The sequence below is a fragment of the Homo sapiens genome, chromosome 19 (assembly GCF_000001405.40).
Source record: "Homo sapiens chromosome 19, GRCh38.p14 Primary Assembly".
NCBI classification, from domain to species: Eukaryota; Metazoa; Chordata; class Mammalia; order Primates; family Hominidae; genus Homo; species Homo sapiens.
This window is the reverse complement of record NC_000019.10, coordinates 40325738-40340275: the sequence shown is the minus strand read 5'-3', so window position 1 is coordinate 40340275 and position 14538 is coordinate 40325738. Positions and strand designations below refer to the sequence as shown.

The 14538-nt window shown below is 48.9% G+C and overlaps 1 protein-coding gene across 16 annotated transcripts in view, besides 2 other annotated features; it reads left to right on the top strand.

Annotated features, from left to right (window-relative positions):
* The window catches only part of C19orf47 (chromosome 19 open reading frame 47), a 55574-nt gene that overhangs the window by 8252 nt on the left and 32784 nt on the right, over positions 1–14538 (top strand). For 10 of the 16 annotated variants that reach the window (NR_156465.2, NR_046202.2, XM_011526460.3 and 7 more), the window contains 5 exons: positions 3869–3956; positions 4052–4166; positions 6347–6425; positions 11726–11863; positions 13790–13942. Coding sequence is in view for 14 of the 16 variants with exons in the window: in XM_011526460.3 (XP_011524762.1) it covers positions 3869–3956; positions 4052–4166; positions 6347–6425; positions 11726–11863; positions 13790–13942 (573 nt within the window). In the remaining 2 variants the exon portion in view is untranslated. Of the gene's footprint in view, positions 1–3868; positions 3957–4051; positions 4167–6346; positions 6426–7716; positions 7755–11725; positions 11864–13789; positions 13943–14538 lie in introns of those variants that run through there. The other 6 variants (XM_047438176.1, XM_005258520.3, XM_017026291.2 and 3 more) reach the window with 2 other exon arrangements.
* Positions 4840–5134: a silencer, noted in NCBI's record as "tiled region #7250; K562 Repressive non-DNase unmatched - State 15:Elon". NCBI's record gives its function as "represses a minimal TATA promoter and a strong SV40 promoter by Sharpr-MPRA in K562 cells {active_cell/tissue: K562}" and the evidence as "EXISTENCE:reporter gene assay evidence [ECO:0000049][PMID:27701403]".
* Positions 8947–9147: a silencer, noted in NCBI's record as "peak3483 fragment used in MPRA reporter construct". NCBI's record gives its function as "represses an SCP1 promoter by STARR-seq MPRAs in K562 erythroleukemia cells {active_cell/tissue: K562}" and the evidence as "EXISTENCE:reporter gene assay evidence [ECO:0000049][PMID:32103011]".

Genomic DNA, 14538 nt, shown 5'->3' with positions numbered 1-14538 from the left:
GAGGTATTAGAAATACCTGATTTCTTGATTTGGGTGCTGATTACATAGGTGTGTCTGGTTTAGGAAGATCTATTGACTTGTGCACTTTTTTGCATGTACATTATAGTTCCATAAAAAGATTGAAAAATCCAAACCCTATTACCCATCCAGGTCAAAAAAAAGAGAATATTGTCAGCCCCCCGAGAGTCCTACCCCAATCTCACTCCCCTCTCTTCTCCATTCTCCATATGGAATAAATCATTCTGTGAACATATTTTCTTGCCTTACCTTTCTTTTTTTGTTTTTTTTTTTTTTTGTTTTGAGATGGAGTTTCGCTTTTGTTGCCTAAGCTGGAATGCAGTGGTGCGATCTCGGCTCACCGCAACCTCTGCCTCCTGGGTTCAAGCAATTCTCCTGCCTCAGCCTCCAGATTGAGTAGCTGGGATTACAGGCATGCACCACCATGCCTGGCTAATTTTGTATTTTTAGTAGAGATGGGGTTTTTCTATGTTGGTCAGGCTGGTCTTGAACTCCTGACCTCAGGTGATCCGTCCATCTCGGCCTCCCAAAGTGCTGGGATTACAGGTGTAAGCCACCGCTCCTGGCCTTCCTTGCTTTTCTTTATAGTTGTATTACCAGTGGGACATTCCTATTCTATAGACTTTGGTTTTGAATTTATATGAATGAAATCATACCTTGTGTTCTTTTGTATCTGGCTTCTTTTGCTCAACATAATGTCTAAGGGTCATCTATGTTGACTTTCTTTTCACTGCTGTATAGTATTTCACCTTGAGAGTGACCACCGTGTGTTTATCAATGCTGCTGTCAATGGATATTGCATTATTACTGGGTTGGAGCTATCACAGACAAACTGCTATGAATATTCTTGTACGTGTCTCCTGGTGTGTGCAACAAGCCACATCTCATCGATTCCAAGACTCACATCATTGCACAACTTAATATTTCTGAAGTAGGGGTATATCTTACAGCCAGTGCCTTATGACAGTTTAATTGGCTGCATATTTTCCTTCCTTAGCAATACATGAAATGATGGTGTGTGCTTAATGTGGGGACTCTTTCAATTCCTCAAACACTGGGTTTCAGTAATCTCTTGGTTAAATTCACAGGCTTTGCCTGGTCCCTAGGAACTGATTGGTCTTTACAACTAATTGATCACAACCAGTTACAGATTTCTTTGTTCCTTCTCCCTTCCTACTGCTTCACTTGACTAGCCTTAAAGTCAATCAGTCAATTAATCAATCATAGGCTTTGGCTCAGAGAGCTACCCCCAACCTACGTGGTACTTTTTTCTCCCCTTAATAACAGCTTAGTGTAGCTATAATGCATTTATCATACATTTTACCTAGTTAAGGTGTATAATTCGATGGTTTTTATATTATCTGTTCACAGAGTTGTGCAGCCATCACCATAATCAATTTTAAAACATCTTTATCACTCTCTCTTGAAACCCCATACCTTAGCAGGGTGTTATGGTGCATGCCTGTAATCCCAGCACTTTGGGAGGCCGAGGCAGGTGGATCGCTTGAGTCCAGGAGTTTGAGACCAGCCTAGGCAACATGGCAAAACTCTGTCTCTATAAAAAATACAAAAAAATGCCGGGGGCGGTGGCTCACGCCTGTAATCTCATCACTTTGGGAGGCCAGGGCATGTGGATCACACGGTCAGGAGTTTGAGACCAGCCTGACCAACATGGTGAAACCCCGTCTCTACTAAAAATACAAAAATTAGCTGTTCATGGTGGCGCGTGGCTGTAATCCTAGCTACTCAGGAGGCTGAGGCAGGAGAATTGCTTGAACCCGGAGGTGGAGGTTGCAGTCAGCCGAGATTGCGCCACTGCACTCCAGTCTGGGTGACAGAATGAGACTCCATCTAAAAAGAAATATATATATATGTGTATATATATATATGTATTTGTGTGTGTGTGTGTATATATATATTTGTGTATATATATATTTGTGTATATATATGTGTATATATATATATTTGTGTGTGTGTGTGTGTGTGTGTGTATATATATGTATATATATACAAAAAATTAGCCTGGCCTGGTGGCATGCGCCTGTAGTTTAACTACTTGAGAAGCTGAGGTGGGAAGATCGCTTGAGCCCAGGAGGTTGAGACGGCAGTGAGCTATGATTGCGCCACTGCACTCTGGCCTAGGCGACAGAGGGAGACCCTGTCTCAAAAAAATTAAAACCCCATACCCATTAACAGTCACTTCCCCTGTCCCCCTAGCAACCACTAATCTACTTTCTCTTTAGATTTGCCTGTTCTAGACACTTCATATACATGGAATCATTATGTGGTGCTTGTTGATAGTTAGAGGTGCCTGCTTCTGGTCAGTGGGACCCAGGGCCCTATGGCTTAGCAGGTGGATGGTGCCTGCACAACATAGGGAAATGGTACCCCTTTCCTCTGGCCTGGCGGAGGAAATCCTAAGGACATGAGCTCCTCGCCAGCCTCAGTCCCCAAGGGCCAGTCAGCACCCTGGGTAACCGGCCTGTGGCTGGCTGGGCAGGGGCCTTCTTGGAGATGTGGCCCATGGAGTTTCACCTGAGCCCCGCACTGCCACTCGTGTAACACCTGTGTGTCTGTTTCCCTGCTCTGAGTCTCTATTGTCTTAAAAGAAAAATGGGTGAGGTAATAACAGATTTCTTCTAATCTAAAATAGCATGGATTATTGGATGTACTGAGAAAGAAAAACAGTTTGCTAATTAAACTATGGCACACTGTCAGTCATGAAGTAGATCCTAGTTTCAGAGATGTCAAAATGTGAAAAAAAGTTCTACTTCGAATCAGTGATCTTAGCTATCACCTGGCCTGGCAGGTTGGGGTCAGTTTGAGGGTCACACCCACCAAGAAGCCAAGAAAATTTAGAAAGAATAAAGTTTCATAGGTGGGGTCTGCCTGGTCTTGGCTGTGGCTCTATGTTTAGTGGTGATGGGAGTAATAGTAATAATAATAATAATAATAATAATAATAATAATTGCTGTCATGGTTTGAGGATGTCCTCTGGGTCAAGCATCATTTAAAGCCTTTTATATGGAGGTTCTCATTGAGTCTGCACAGTGACTCAAGGACATTGGGGCTGTTATCACTAAAATCTCAGCTCCACAAGGGCTGGGACTTCATCTTGTGCCTTGTGGTATCCCCCGTGTGTAGGACAGGACCTGTCCTTTGCCAAATGCTGGGTAAACACTTGTCAGATCTGTTATCCCAGGTTTACAGATGAGGAAACCAAGGCACCAAGAGTTAACTTACCCAAAGTCCCTCCATAGGGAAATCGCAGGGTTAGGATTCAAACCCAAGCTCCGAAGCCCATGTTAGTAACTTCCATGCCTCTCTCTGAGGGAGGTTTGCTATTGTGGCGGGTGGGGGCTTGCCAAGGCTCATGGGCTGGCTCTATGATGCTTCTTTCCAGCCACCTGAGGATCCTATCATCCTCTGGGCCTAGGCTGGCTGATGGGGACTAGGGCAGAGAACCCAGAGTCCCAGTTACCCTAAATCAGTCATGGGCCCAGCATGTGTAGTGATGCAGAGAGCAAGCACTGGGGCGGGGTGGAGCTGTAAGGAGAAAGGCTGTGGTAAAGGTTTGGGAGCTCTGCCCCTTGTTTAGCATTGTGGCTTGGGGTGGGTTGCCCAACCTTTCCCTATCTCATTTTCCTCATCGGCAACTCAGGCGAATCTTAATACTGCTTAACTCACAGGGTCAGGAAGGCTCAGTTCCATCATGTGTGTGTGGAGCACTCCATGCAGGGCCTGGCATATGATGAGCATTTAATTTGTGGGAGCTGCTGTGATTGTGGTTTTGCTAATGCTATTCTCTAAAGAGGACAGTGTGAGTAATGAGCCCTGTCCAACCCCACAGCCACTTCCGAGTGGATCCAGTTCTTTAAGGAAGCCGGCATTCCTCCAGGACCTGCCGTCAATTATGCCGTGATGTTTGTGGATAATAGGTGAGGAGGCTGAACTTGGGGATGGGGTGGTGGGGAGCTGGCTGGCCCACCCACTCTGGCCCACCTGGGGCCTCACCACTGACCTTTCCCTGCAGGATTCAGAAGAGCATGCTGCTGGATCTCAATAAGGAGATAATGAATGAGCTGGGCGTGACCGTGGTGGGTGACATCATCGCCATTCTCAAGCATGCCAAAGTGGTGCACCGTCAGGTGGGTGCTGTGCCCAGCCCCTCTGTCTCTGGGTTTGGCATGGAGGTGGAGGGTCAGTTGCAGAGCCAATGGGAGGCCTGGCAGCAGAGGCAGGCCGACCCAGGTTCCAGGGCTGGTTCAGCCATTTGCTGTGTGACGCTGGGCACATTGCCCAACCTCTCTGAGCTGTATTTTCTGCATCTGTGAAAGAGAGGCAAACCTGGCCGGGTGCGGTGGCTCACGCCTGTAATCTCAGCACTTTGGGAGGCCGAGGTGGTCGGATCACGAAGTCAGGAGATTGAGACCATCCTGGCTAACACGGTGAAACCCCGTCTGTACTAAAAATACAAAAAATTAGCCGAGCGTGGTGGCGGGCACCTGTAGTCCCAGCTACTTGGGAGGCTGAGGCAGGAGAATGACGTGAACGTGGGTGGCGGAGCTTGCAGTGAGCCGAGATCGCACCACTGCACTCCAGCCTGGGCGACAGAGCGAGACTCTCTCAAGAAAAAAAAAAAAAAAAAATCTTGAATGGTGGTTGTATATATTTTTTTGAGACGGTGTCTCGCCATGTTGCCCAAGCTGGTGTCGAACTCCTGGGCTCAGGCCATCCTCCTGCCTCGGTCTCCCAAAATACTGGGATTTCAGGCATGAGCTGCTGCTCCCAGCCCTGGTTGTGAGTATTAAGCTATGTGAAGCACTAGCACAGTGGAAACTGCCTGTATTTGGGTCCCTCTGTAATAACTATTATTGCTGCTTCACATTTTCCTTGTGATAAGTATTATCTCCAGGACAGCAGCTTCCTATGTGGGACCCAGATGGCAACCTGGCTCACAACCTGGACATTCCAGTCTTGACCCCTCCACTTATAGTGACCCACCTTCCTGGATCTCTTTGAAATGGGCTTCTCACACAGCCCTGATGCTAGTGTGGCTGTGGCCACCTACCAGATAGTATATGTGGCCTTGAGCACCAGACCTGGAGTGCTGTACTCATTAAGTGATTAATATAATAGCTAACACTTACCAAGCACTTGCTGTGGCCTGCCAGGCACTGTCTCCCTCCCTCCCTTCCTCCCTCCCTCCCTCCCTCCCTCCTTCCCTCCTTCCCTTCCTCCTTCCCTCCCTCCCTCCTTCCCTTTCTCCCTTCCTTCCTTCCTCCCTCCCTCCCTCCCTACCCCCCTTCCTTCCTTCCTTTCTTCACTTGTTTATTATTTATTTTTGAGACAGGGTCTCACTCCATCGCCCAGGCTGGAGTGCAGTAGCACTATCTCGGCTCACTGCAACCTCTGCCTCCCAGGTGCAAGTGATTCTCCTACCTCAGCCTCCTGAGTAGCTGGGATTACAGGCATGTGCCCCTGTGCCTGGCCTCTTTATTTTATTTAATTGAGACAGAATCCTGCCCTGTTGCCAGGCTGGAGTGTAGTGGTGCTGTCTTGGCTCACTGCAGTCTCCACCTCCCAAGTTCAAGAGATTCTCGTACCTCAGCCACCCGAGTGATTGGGATTACAGGCGTGCGCCACCATGCCCAGCTAGTTTTTATAATTTTAGTAGAGATGGGGTTTTGCCATGTTGCCCAGGGTGGTCTTGAACTCCTGGCCTCAGGTGATCCACCTGCCCCGGCCTCTCAAAGGGCTGGGATTACAGGTGTGAGCCACCGTACCTGGCCATCTTTCACCTATTTTGGAGACAGGGTCTCACTCTGTTGCCCAGGCTAGAATGCAGTGGTACAATCACAGCTTACTGCAGCCTCAAACTCCTGGGCTCAAGCAATCCTACCACCTCAGCCCCTGAATAATTGGGACTACAGGTGTGTGACACCATGCTTGGCTAGTTTTTTAATTTTTTCTAGAGATAAGCGTCCCACTGTGTTGGCCAGGCTGGTCTCAAACTCCTGACCTCAGGTGATCCACCCGCTTCGGCCTCCCGAAGTGCTGGGATTACAGGCGTGAACCACCGCACCTGGCCTATTTTTTCAATAGGTGAGGAGGCTGAACTTCAGATATATATATCTGAATATACTGGTCAGATATTTTATAGAGTGTCCCTCAGTTTGGAGGTATCTGATGCTTTCTTATGGTTAGGAGTGAAATGTGTTAGAATCTTCTCTAGCAGTCAGGTGTTGATCCTTGTGGTGTTGCTTAGATCTCTAGGTTGATGCATGATTCTTCTGTGGTGACCCAGGTGCCTGTTCTTTTTTCACAGGACATGTGCAAAGCTGCCACTGAGTCAGTACCCTGCAGCCCTAGCCCCCTTGCAGGCGAAATTCGCCGTGGCACCAGTGGTGAGTCCTAACTATTCAGGCCTCTTTTCCTTGATTTTTATACCCTGTCAGTGAAGGGGACACGTCTGGCCATCCCATCCCCGCCTGTAATTTTCAAAGGTAGAAACAAAGCCATTGGAGGAATTCTTACTCTTCTTTTAGGGGAAAAAATAAACTGGGTAGTGAATGGCTGTACACACAGTCAATTGTCATCTGTGGTCATTAAGTTCTGTAAAGTTAATATGTACACTTAGTGAATTCTTAGCTCCTAGAAGAAATACAGAGCAATGGAGAATCCGTTGCTCCTATGGGAAATACTAGGTTAGGTTCCTGCAAGCCTGTCGTCAAATATATAGCTTTATTTTATGTGTGTCTCCTTTTAAAGGCACTGTAGTTAATACATAATGTTGATTTCATTAACCGGGAACTCATAGCCAACAACACTGTAACTCATTCCTGCACAATGCTTATCTCACACACACATTTTTTTGATCAGGTACATCATACCCTTCTTACATTTAGGAAGCCAGACAGCACTTCAACACTGTGCTTTGAGGGCCATTTTATTTATTTATTTATTTATTTATTTATTTATTTTCTTATTTATTTATTTATTTTGAGATGGAGTCTCTGTTGCCCAGGCTGGAGTACAGTGGCACGATCTCAGCTCACTGCAACCTCCACCTCCCGGGTTCAAGCGATCCTCCTGCCTCAGCCTCCTAAGTAGCTGGGATTACAGGCACCTGTCACCACACCCGGCTAATTTTTGTATTTTTAGTAGAGACGGGGTTTCACCATCTTGGCCAGGCTGGTCTCGAACTCCTGACTTCAAGTGATCTGCCTGCTTCGGCCTCCCAAAGTGCTGGGATTATAGGCGTGAGCCACTGCTCCCGTCCAGGGGGCTATTTTAAACAGCAAAATCACCAACAAAAATGTGAAAAATGTTCACATTCATGACATCAAGTAGACTGGGCAAAGGATGCTTGTTTACAGAGCGGGACCTGAAATAAGAGGGTGAGAATGCCTTCTTTGTCCTCATTTGGGAACGTGTCTGGAGCAACTCAAAATGTTCTCTGTGTGTGTCTGTGAATGACAGTGAAAGCACTGCTGTATTGATTTTGGGGTTACAAATACATTTGAATGAGTAGGCAAGTTTGCAAATATGGAATCTATGAATGATGAGTATTGACTGTATTTATATTTTTTCTTTTTCTTTTTTTTTTTTGAGATGGAGTCTCCCTCTGTTGCCCAGGCTGGAGTACAGTGGCGCGACCTTGGCTCAGTGCAACCTCCGCCTCCCGGGTTCAAGCAGTTCTCCTGCCTCAGCCTCCCGAGTAGCTGGGATTACAGGTGCCTGCCACCACGCCTGGCTAATTTTTGTATTTTTAGTAGACAGAATTTCACCCTGTTGGCCAGGCTGGTTTTGAACACCTCAGGTGATCCACCCGCCTCAGCCTCCCAAAGTGCTGGGGTTATAGGCGTGAGCCACCACTGCACCTGACCTTTTTTTTTTTCCCTTGAGATAGTCTCGCTGTGTTGCCTACGTTGGAGTGCGATGGCACGCTTAGCTAACTGCAAACTCTGCCTCCCAGGTTAAGTGATTCTTGTGCCTCAGTCACCCAAGTATCTGGGATTACATGTGTGTGCCACCATGCCCAGCCAATTTTTGTATTTTTAGTAGAGACAGAGTTTTGCCACATTTGCCAGGCTAGTCTTGAACTCTTGACTTCAAACGATCCACCTGCCTCAGCCTCCCAAAGTGCAGGCATGAGCCACTGCACCTGGCTATTTTTGGTTTTTAAAAGCAGTATGATACCATTTTTTTTTTTTTTTGAGATGGAGTTTCGCTTTTGTGGCTCAGGCTGGAGTGCAATGGCATGATCTTGGCTCACTGCAACCTCCACCTCCTGGGTTCAAGCGATTCTCCTGCCTCAGCCTCCTGAGTTGCTGGCATTACAGGTGCCTGCCACCATGCCCAGCCAATTTTTGTTATTTTTAGTAGAGATGAGGTTTTACCATGTTGGCCAGGCTGGTCTCGAGCTCCTGACTGTAGGTGATCCACCCACCTTGGCCCCCCAAAGTGTTGGGATTACAGCCATTAGCCACCGCACCCGACAGATACCTTTTTTAAAAATAAACTTTAAAATTTTAATATACACATTAGCTTCCCTTTGCTGATAACTAAGCCGCCCAAAACTGTGCTTTAAAACACAGACATGTATTTTTATTTTTTGAGATGGGAGTCTCACTCTGTTGCCCAGGCTGGAGTGTAGTGGTGCAGTCATAGCTCACTGTAGCCTCAAAGTCCTGGGCTCAAGTGATCCTCCTGCCTCAGCCTCCTGAATAGCTGGGATTACAAGCACAAGCCACCATGTCTTGCTAAAACATGGGTGTTTATTTCTCATGATTTTGTGGGTTGGCTGGTCAGTTCTGCTCTAGGCCAGCTCAGCTGATTTTAGTGGTCACCTGGCAGCTAGGTTGAAGCCGGGTTGACGGCCGCATTCACATATCTGATGGTTGTCCTGATGTTATCTGGGCCCACAGGGTGACTTGGCTACGTGTCCATAATTATCTAGCTGGCTAGCCTGGGCTTGTTCACAGTGGTGGTTGCAGGGTTCCTAAAAGCAGCAGAAGAGGGCTGGCCCCAGTGTGCAAAGCACCTCTTAAGCCACTGCTTGCACAACATTTGCTCTTGTCCTGTTGGCCAAAGCAAGTTACATGGCTAAGTCCACAGTCATTGTGGGTAGGGCCTACCCAAAGATGTGGATGCAAAGAAGCTGAGCAAATTAGGGTTCGTTTCTGCAACACTCCTCCATAACATACATTCAGAAAAGCATTCACCCATAATATTACAGTGGGGTGCCATTCACAGATGGGACACCCATGTAGCCAGCACCCAAATCCAGTAATGGAAACATGACCAGCCTGCCAGAATCCCCCTGTGCCCCCTCCCAGCCACCACATTGTCTCCAGGGTACCCACTACCCTGATTGCTAACAGCACACATTAGTTTTACCAGTCTTTCAAATCTTTATAAATGAAATGTTCAGCTGGGTATGGTGGCCCATGCCTTTAATCCCAGCACTTTGGGAGGCCCAGGTGGGAAGATCACTTGATGCTAGGCATTTGAGACCAGCCTGGGCAACATAGTGAGACCCTGTCTCTACAAAAATTAGTAAATTAGCTGTGGGAGGCTTGGGAGGCTGAGGTGGGAGGATTGCTTGAGCCCAGGACTTTGAGGCTGCAGTGAGTTATGATGGCACCACTGTACTCCATCATCGTGGGCAACAGAGTGGGACCCTGTCTCAAAAAAAAAAAAAAAAAAAAAAAAGAGGGCCGGGTATGGTGGCTCACGCCTGTAATCCCAGCATTTTGGGAGGCCAAGGTGGGCAGATCATGAGGTCAGACCTCGAGAGATCGAGACCATCCTGGCTAACATGGTGAAACCCCATCTCTACTAAAAATACACAAAAAAATTAGCCGGGCATGGTGATGGGCGCCTGTAGTCCCAGCTACTCGGGAGGCTGAGGCACGAGAATGGTGTGAACCTGGGAGGCAGAGCTTGCAGTGAGTCAAGATCGCGCCACTGCACTCCAGCCTGGGCGACAGAGCGAGACTCTGTCTCAAAAAAAAAAGAAAAAAAAGAAAGGGAAAGTAAATGAAAATAAATAAATAAAAAGAGAAGGGGAAACAGGCAAAGAAAGAAAGGGGTGGGAAGAATGCTCTAAAAACATTCCTGAGATGATCACTTTTACACACTTTAGAACATTGAATGATGTGTCTGTCAGGAGTGGGAAAGAGAACAGTTCTTTGTATTCTGATATCCTGACTGCAACGCAAATGCAAGACAGAGTAAAGACAGAGTTGGTTGCTTAACCGCCACCCAAATGGGGCTTGCCTGTCATGACAATAAAGCATCACATTCCTGACATCTTTTCAGCTGCAGATTTCCCTCTGGGTACAGCAGGACAGGTAGGGCCCTCTTAACAGCTTGCCTTTTATAGCAGAAAATCCTGATCCTATTGCACTCAGCTAGGTAAAGAGTATTGTGAATGGAGGCTCTCACAGGACAGATTCTGCATAGCCAGAGAGTTTGCAGCCATTAGACATAAAGCCACCCATCCAACCTGAAAAATGTCTGAAGAAGTGCTGGGGTATATTATTAACAGAGGAGAGAGAGCAGGCCTGAAAACCAAGAATTTCTTCCTGCAGAGAGGGAGGAGGTCTGATAGGGAAGGATCTGTCCTGGGACTTCTGGGTACCAATAATGTCATGATGCCTGGGTGCTGGGTGCTTGGGGGTCACGTTTTATTAAATGTTCTGTGATGGTTTAATGTAGTTTTCTTTCTTTTTCCCCCCTGTTTTTGAGACTGGGTTTCACTCTGTTGCCCAGGCTGGAGTGCAGTAGTGCGATCACAGCTCACTGCAGCCTTGACCTCCTGGGCTCAAGTGATTCTCTTGCCTCAGCCTCCTGAGTATCTGGGACTACAGGCACATGCCACCATGCCTGGCTGATTTTTTGTATTTTTGGTAGAGATGGGATTTTGCCATGTTGCCCAGGCTGGTCTTGAACTGGGTTCAAGTGATCCATCCCCCTAGGCCTCCCAAAGTGCAGGGATTACAGGCATGCGCCCTTGTGCCTGTCCTCAGAAACCACTTTAGGCACTGGGATACAGCAGTAAACAGACACAGCCTCCTCGTGGAGCTTATGTTCTTGTGAGTGAGTTTACCAGTAAACAAATAGAGTTTAATGTCAAGCAGTTGTAAGGGCTGTGAAGAAAATGAAAGTGGGTAAGGGTGATAGAGGTTGAGGAGGTGCTGTTTTTGATGGGGTGGTCAGGGAAGTTTTCTCTGAGGAGTTGCCATCAGAGAGGAGGCCTGAATGATGAGACGCAGCAATTCCGCTGTGCTTGGGGAACTGCATGCCAGGCAGAAGGAACAGCAGGGACCCTGAGGAAGCGCCTACTTGCTAGGTGAGGAAGATCCTGGAGACCAGCATGGCTGAAGCAGCTCCGGGAGGGGCGAAGCGAACTCAGCACGAGGCTGGGTGACTGATGGGTGAGGTGTGATCAGAACTAGTGTGGTCTAGAGCCTCAGGAAAGGCTCCCAGGATAGGGAGGGATGGGCTAGTTCCTGGGGAGATGCAGCCCACCCTGCCCCCAAGCATCCCCATCACGAGTACCATGCAGTTACAGGGTGATACCCGCTGACCTTCTCATTCAGTCTCAAGCCTCACCTTCTCCATCCTGACCCTGAGACTGCTGGATTGAGGCCTGTCTTCCAGGACCCCACCCGACCGGACTCTCCTTTTCTCCCCACAGCTGCCTCCCGAATGATCACCAACAGCCTGAACCATGACTCTCCACCCAGCACACCCCCCAGGCGCCCGGACACCAGCACCTCCAAGATCTCGGTCACTGTGTCCAACAAGATGGCAGCAAAGAGTGCCAAGGCCACTGGTGAGGGAACATGGGCAGGTGGTAGGAGGAGCTGGAGGGGAACGTGGGTTGGTAGGAGGTGTTGGGGGTCATGCTTCCAATATTGTAAGGTGCTTTGAAGGCCACAAGGTATACAAAACATTTGAACCTGAATCACCTCTGTAAACTTGGTCAAGGTGCCATACGTCTGTGGGCCTCACTTTCTTCATCTGTAGCATGGGGGGTGGCGATACCCCACCCAGGAGGATGGACAGAAGCACCTGAGTTGGTGTGTTGAGGCATGTGTGCATTGCCTTCTCACTCAGGGGTTCACGCTTTGTGAACAGGTCTTCACCGAGCCCCCTACTTGTGCACAGCTCTGTGCTTGATGCCTGGGGTCATAGGTTAAGAACCTCTTGCCTCCTCTTAGCAGCCAAGGGATCCATCCTTGAAAACCTTCAGTCTGATCCTGTAACCCCCTGGGCTGTAACTCTCCGGGGCTCCCCATTATTCCAGTAATAAAGGCCATCTTCCCCACATGGTCTGTAGGGCCCTGCATCATGTAGATTCATCTCTTGCATCGCCCCACTTTGCATGCTCGCTTGCTCCCCTCCAGCCTCCTTCCCATCATGGGGCCTTTGCTCCTGGTGACCCCTTGGCCTGAGCACTCTTCCTTCCCAGACTGCTCCATGTTGGCCTCTGTCCTCCTCCAGGTCTCAGCTTGAGAGCTGGGAATGGGCCTGCAGTCACTGGGCTCCCAGGCCTTCCCGTCCACCATGCTCTTAAGCCTTTGCTGGACCCATCCCCACAGCAATGACCTCATGGTGTCATAAGGCAAATGTGGAAACTGAGGCCCAGGGCGCTTCATGTTTCTGACACCCACTCCTATCACGCCCCGTCCACCTCCATCACAAAGTCTCCCCTTTGTCCTGCAGGTTTGGAAGTGCCTCACCCTCTTCTGGCCTTTGATTTGTGTGCCACAAGCAAAAAAGTTAAAATCAGGCTGGGCATGGTGGCTCACGCCTATAATCCCAGCACTTTGGGAGGCTGAGGCAGGAGGATCACTTGAGCCCAGGAGCTCAAGACCAACCTGCACAAGATGATGAAACCCTGTCTCTACATTTAAAAAAAAAAAAAAAAAGGCTGGGCGGGGTGGCTCACACCTGTAATCCCAGAACTTTGGGAGGCCGAGGTGGGCGGATCACCTGAGGTCAGGAGTTCAAGAGCAGCCTGACCAACATGGTGAAACCCCATGTCTACCAAAAATACAAAAATTAGCTGGGCGTGGTGGCGCATGCCTGTAATCCCAGCTACTTGGGAGGCTGAGGCAGGAGAATCGATTGAACCTAGGAGGCAGAGGTTGTAGTGAGCTGAGATCGTGCCATTGCACTCCAGACTGGGCAACAAGAACAAAAACTCAGTCTCAAAAAAAAAAAAAAAAAAAAAAGTTAAAATCAGTGTAACAAAGTATTGCGAAGATGGCGAGCCTGGGAGCAACTGGCTCTTTTAACCCTTAACACGTTTGAGGGGATTCATTTTTTAAATTGAGGTGTAACTTATGCACAATCCACCACTCATAAGTGTACACAGCTCAAGTGCTTGTTGACAAGTGAGTGCAGCCATAAAGCACTGCCTGCTTGGAGCTCTAGAACCTTTCCACCACCCAGCAGGTTCCCCATCCGAGGGGATGTGGGCTGGGCTGGGCCAGAAGCCTGCTTGGAATAGGGACAGAGCCACAGAAAGCCTGGGAGGCCTGCCACAGCCTGGGGATTCTGAGCACCTTCTGTGACCTCGTGTAACAGAGACCTGAGTTTCTCTGTGGTTCGGTCAGTGGTGATGTGGGTGGTTGGGAAGGTAAGGGATTCCAGTCATGAATGTGTGGAGATAAAGGACACCTAGTGTCCAGCTTCCATCCTGGGAGAACGTTCTGTCTCAGAGAGTGCTGATACCCCTGCTTTCTTCCCCCAGCAGCCCTGGCCCGCCGGGAGGAGGAGAGCCTGGCTGTTCCTGCCAAGCGGCGCCGGGTCACTGCTGAGATGGAGGGGAAGTACGTCATCAACATGCCCAAAGGCACCACACCCCGCACCCGCAAGATCCTGGAGCAGCAGCAGGCTGCAAAAGGTACTGGCCCATCAGGGGCATGCTTCCCTGCGGGGTCCATGTCCCTCCCTCTGCATCACACAGGGCCCGTCATATCCTACAGACGGTGGCTGAGAAGCAGGTTCTAACGGGGATGCAGGAGCCGTAGGCCAAGGGGACAGTGATGGTGGCTGCAGAGGAGGGAAATACATCACCTCTGCCCTCTGATCCTGCAGTTAGTGTAGCTGGGCCCCTTGGCACCTCTTCCCCAAGGGGCAGGAGCAACGATAGAGTGATGGCCTGCTGTAAAATGAGTGGCTGTGCTTGGCCAAGGGCAAATACCCCAAAGTGGCACCGTTAATATGAACCAGAGGAGACGAGTGGAGATATAGTCCAAAGCTAGGCCTTCTGACTTGGAGTACAGAGATGATCTCTTGGTCGGGTGTGGTGACGCACACCTGTAATTCCAGCACTTTGGGAGTCTGAGGTGGGAAGATTGCTTGAGCCTAGGAGTTCAAGCGTGCAACATAGTGAGCCCCTATCTCTATTAAAAAGGCTGGGCGCGGTGGCCCATGCCTGTAACTCCAGCACTTTCAGATGATACAGAAACATATTCAGTAAAAACAAACTCTTTTCCC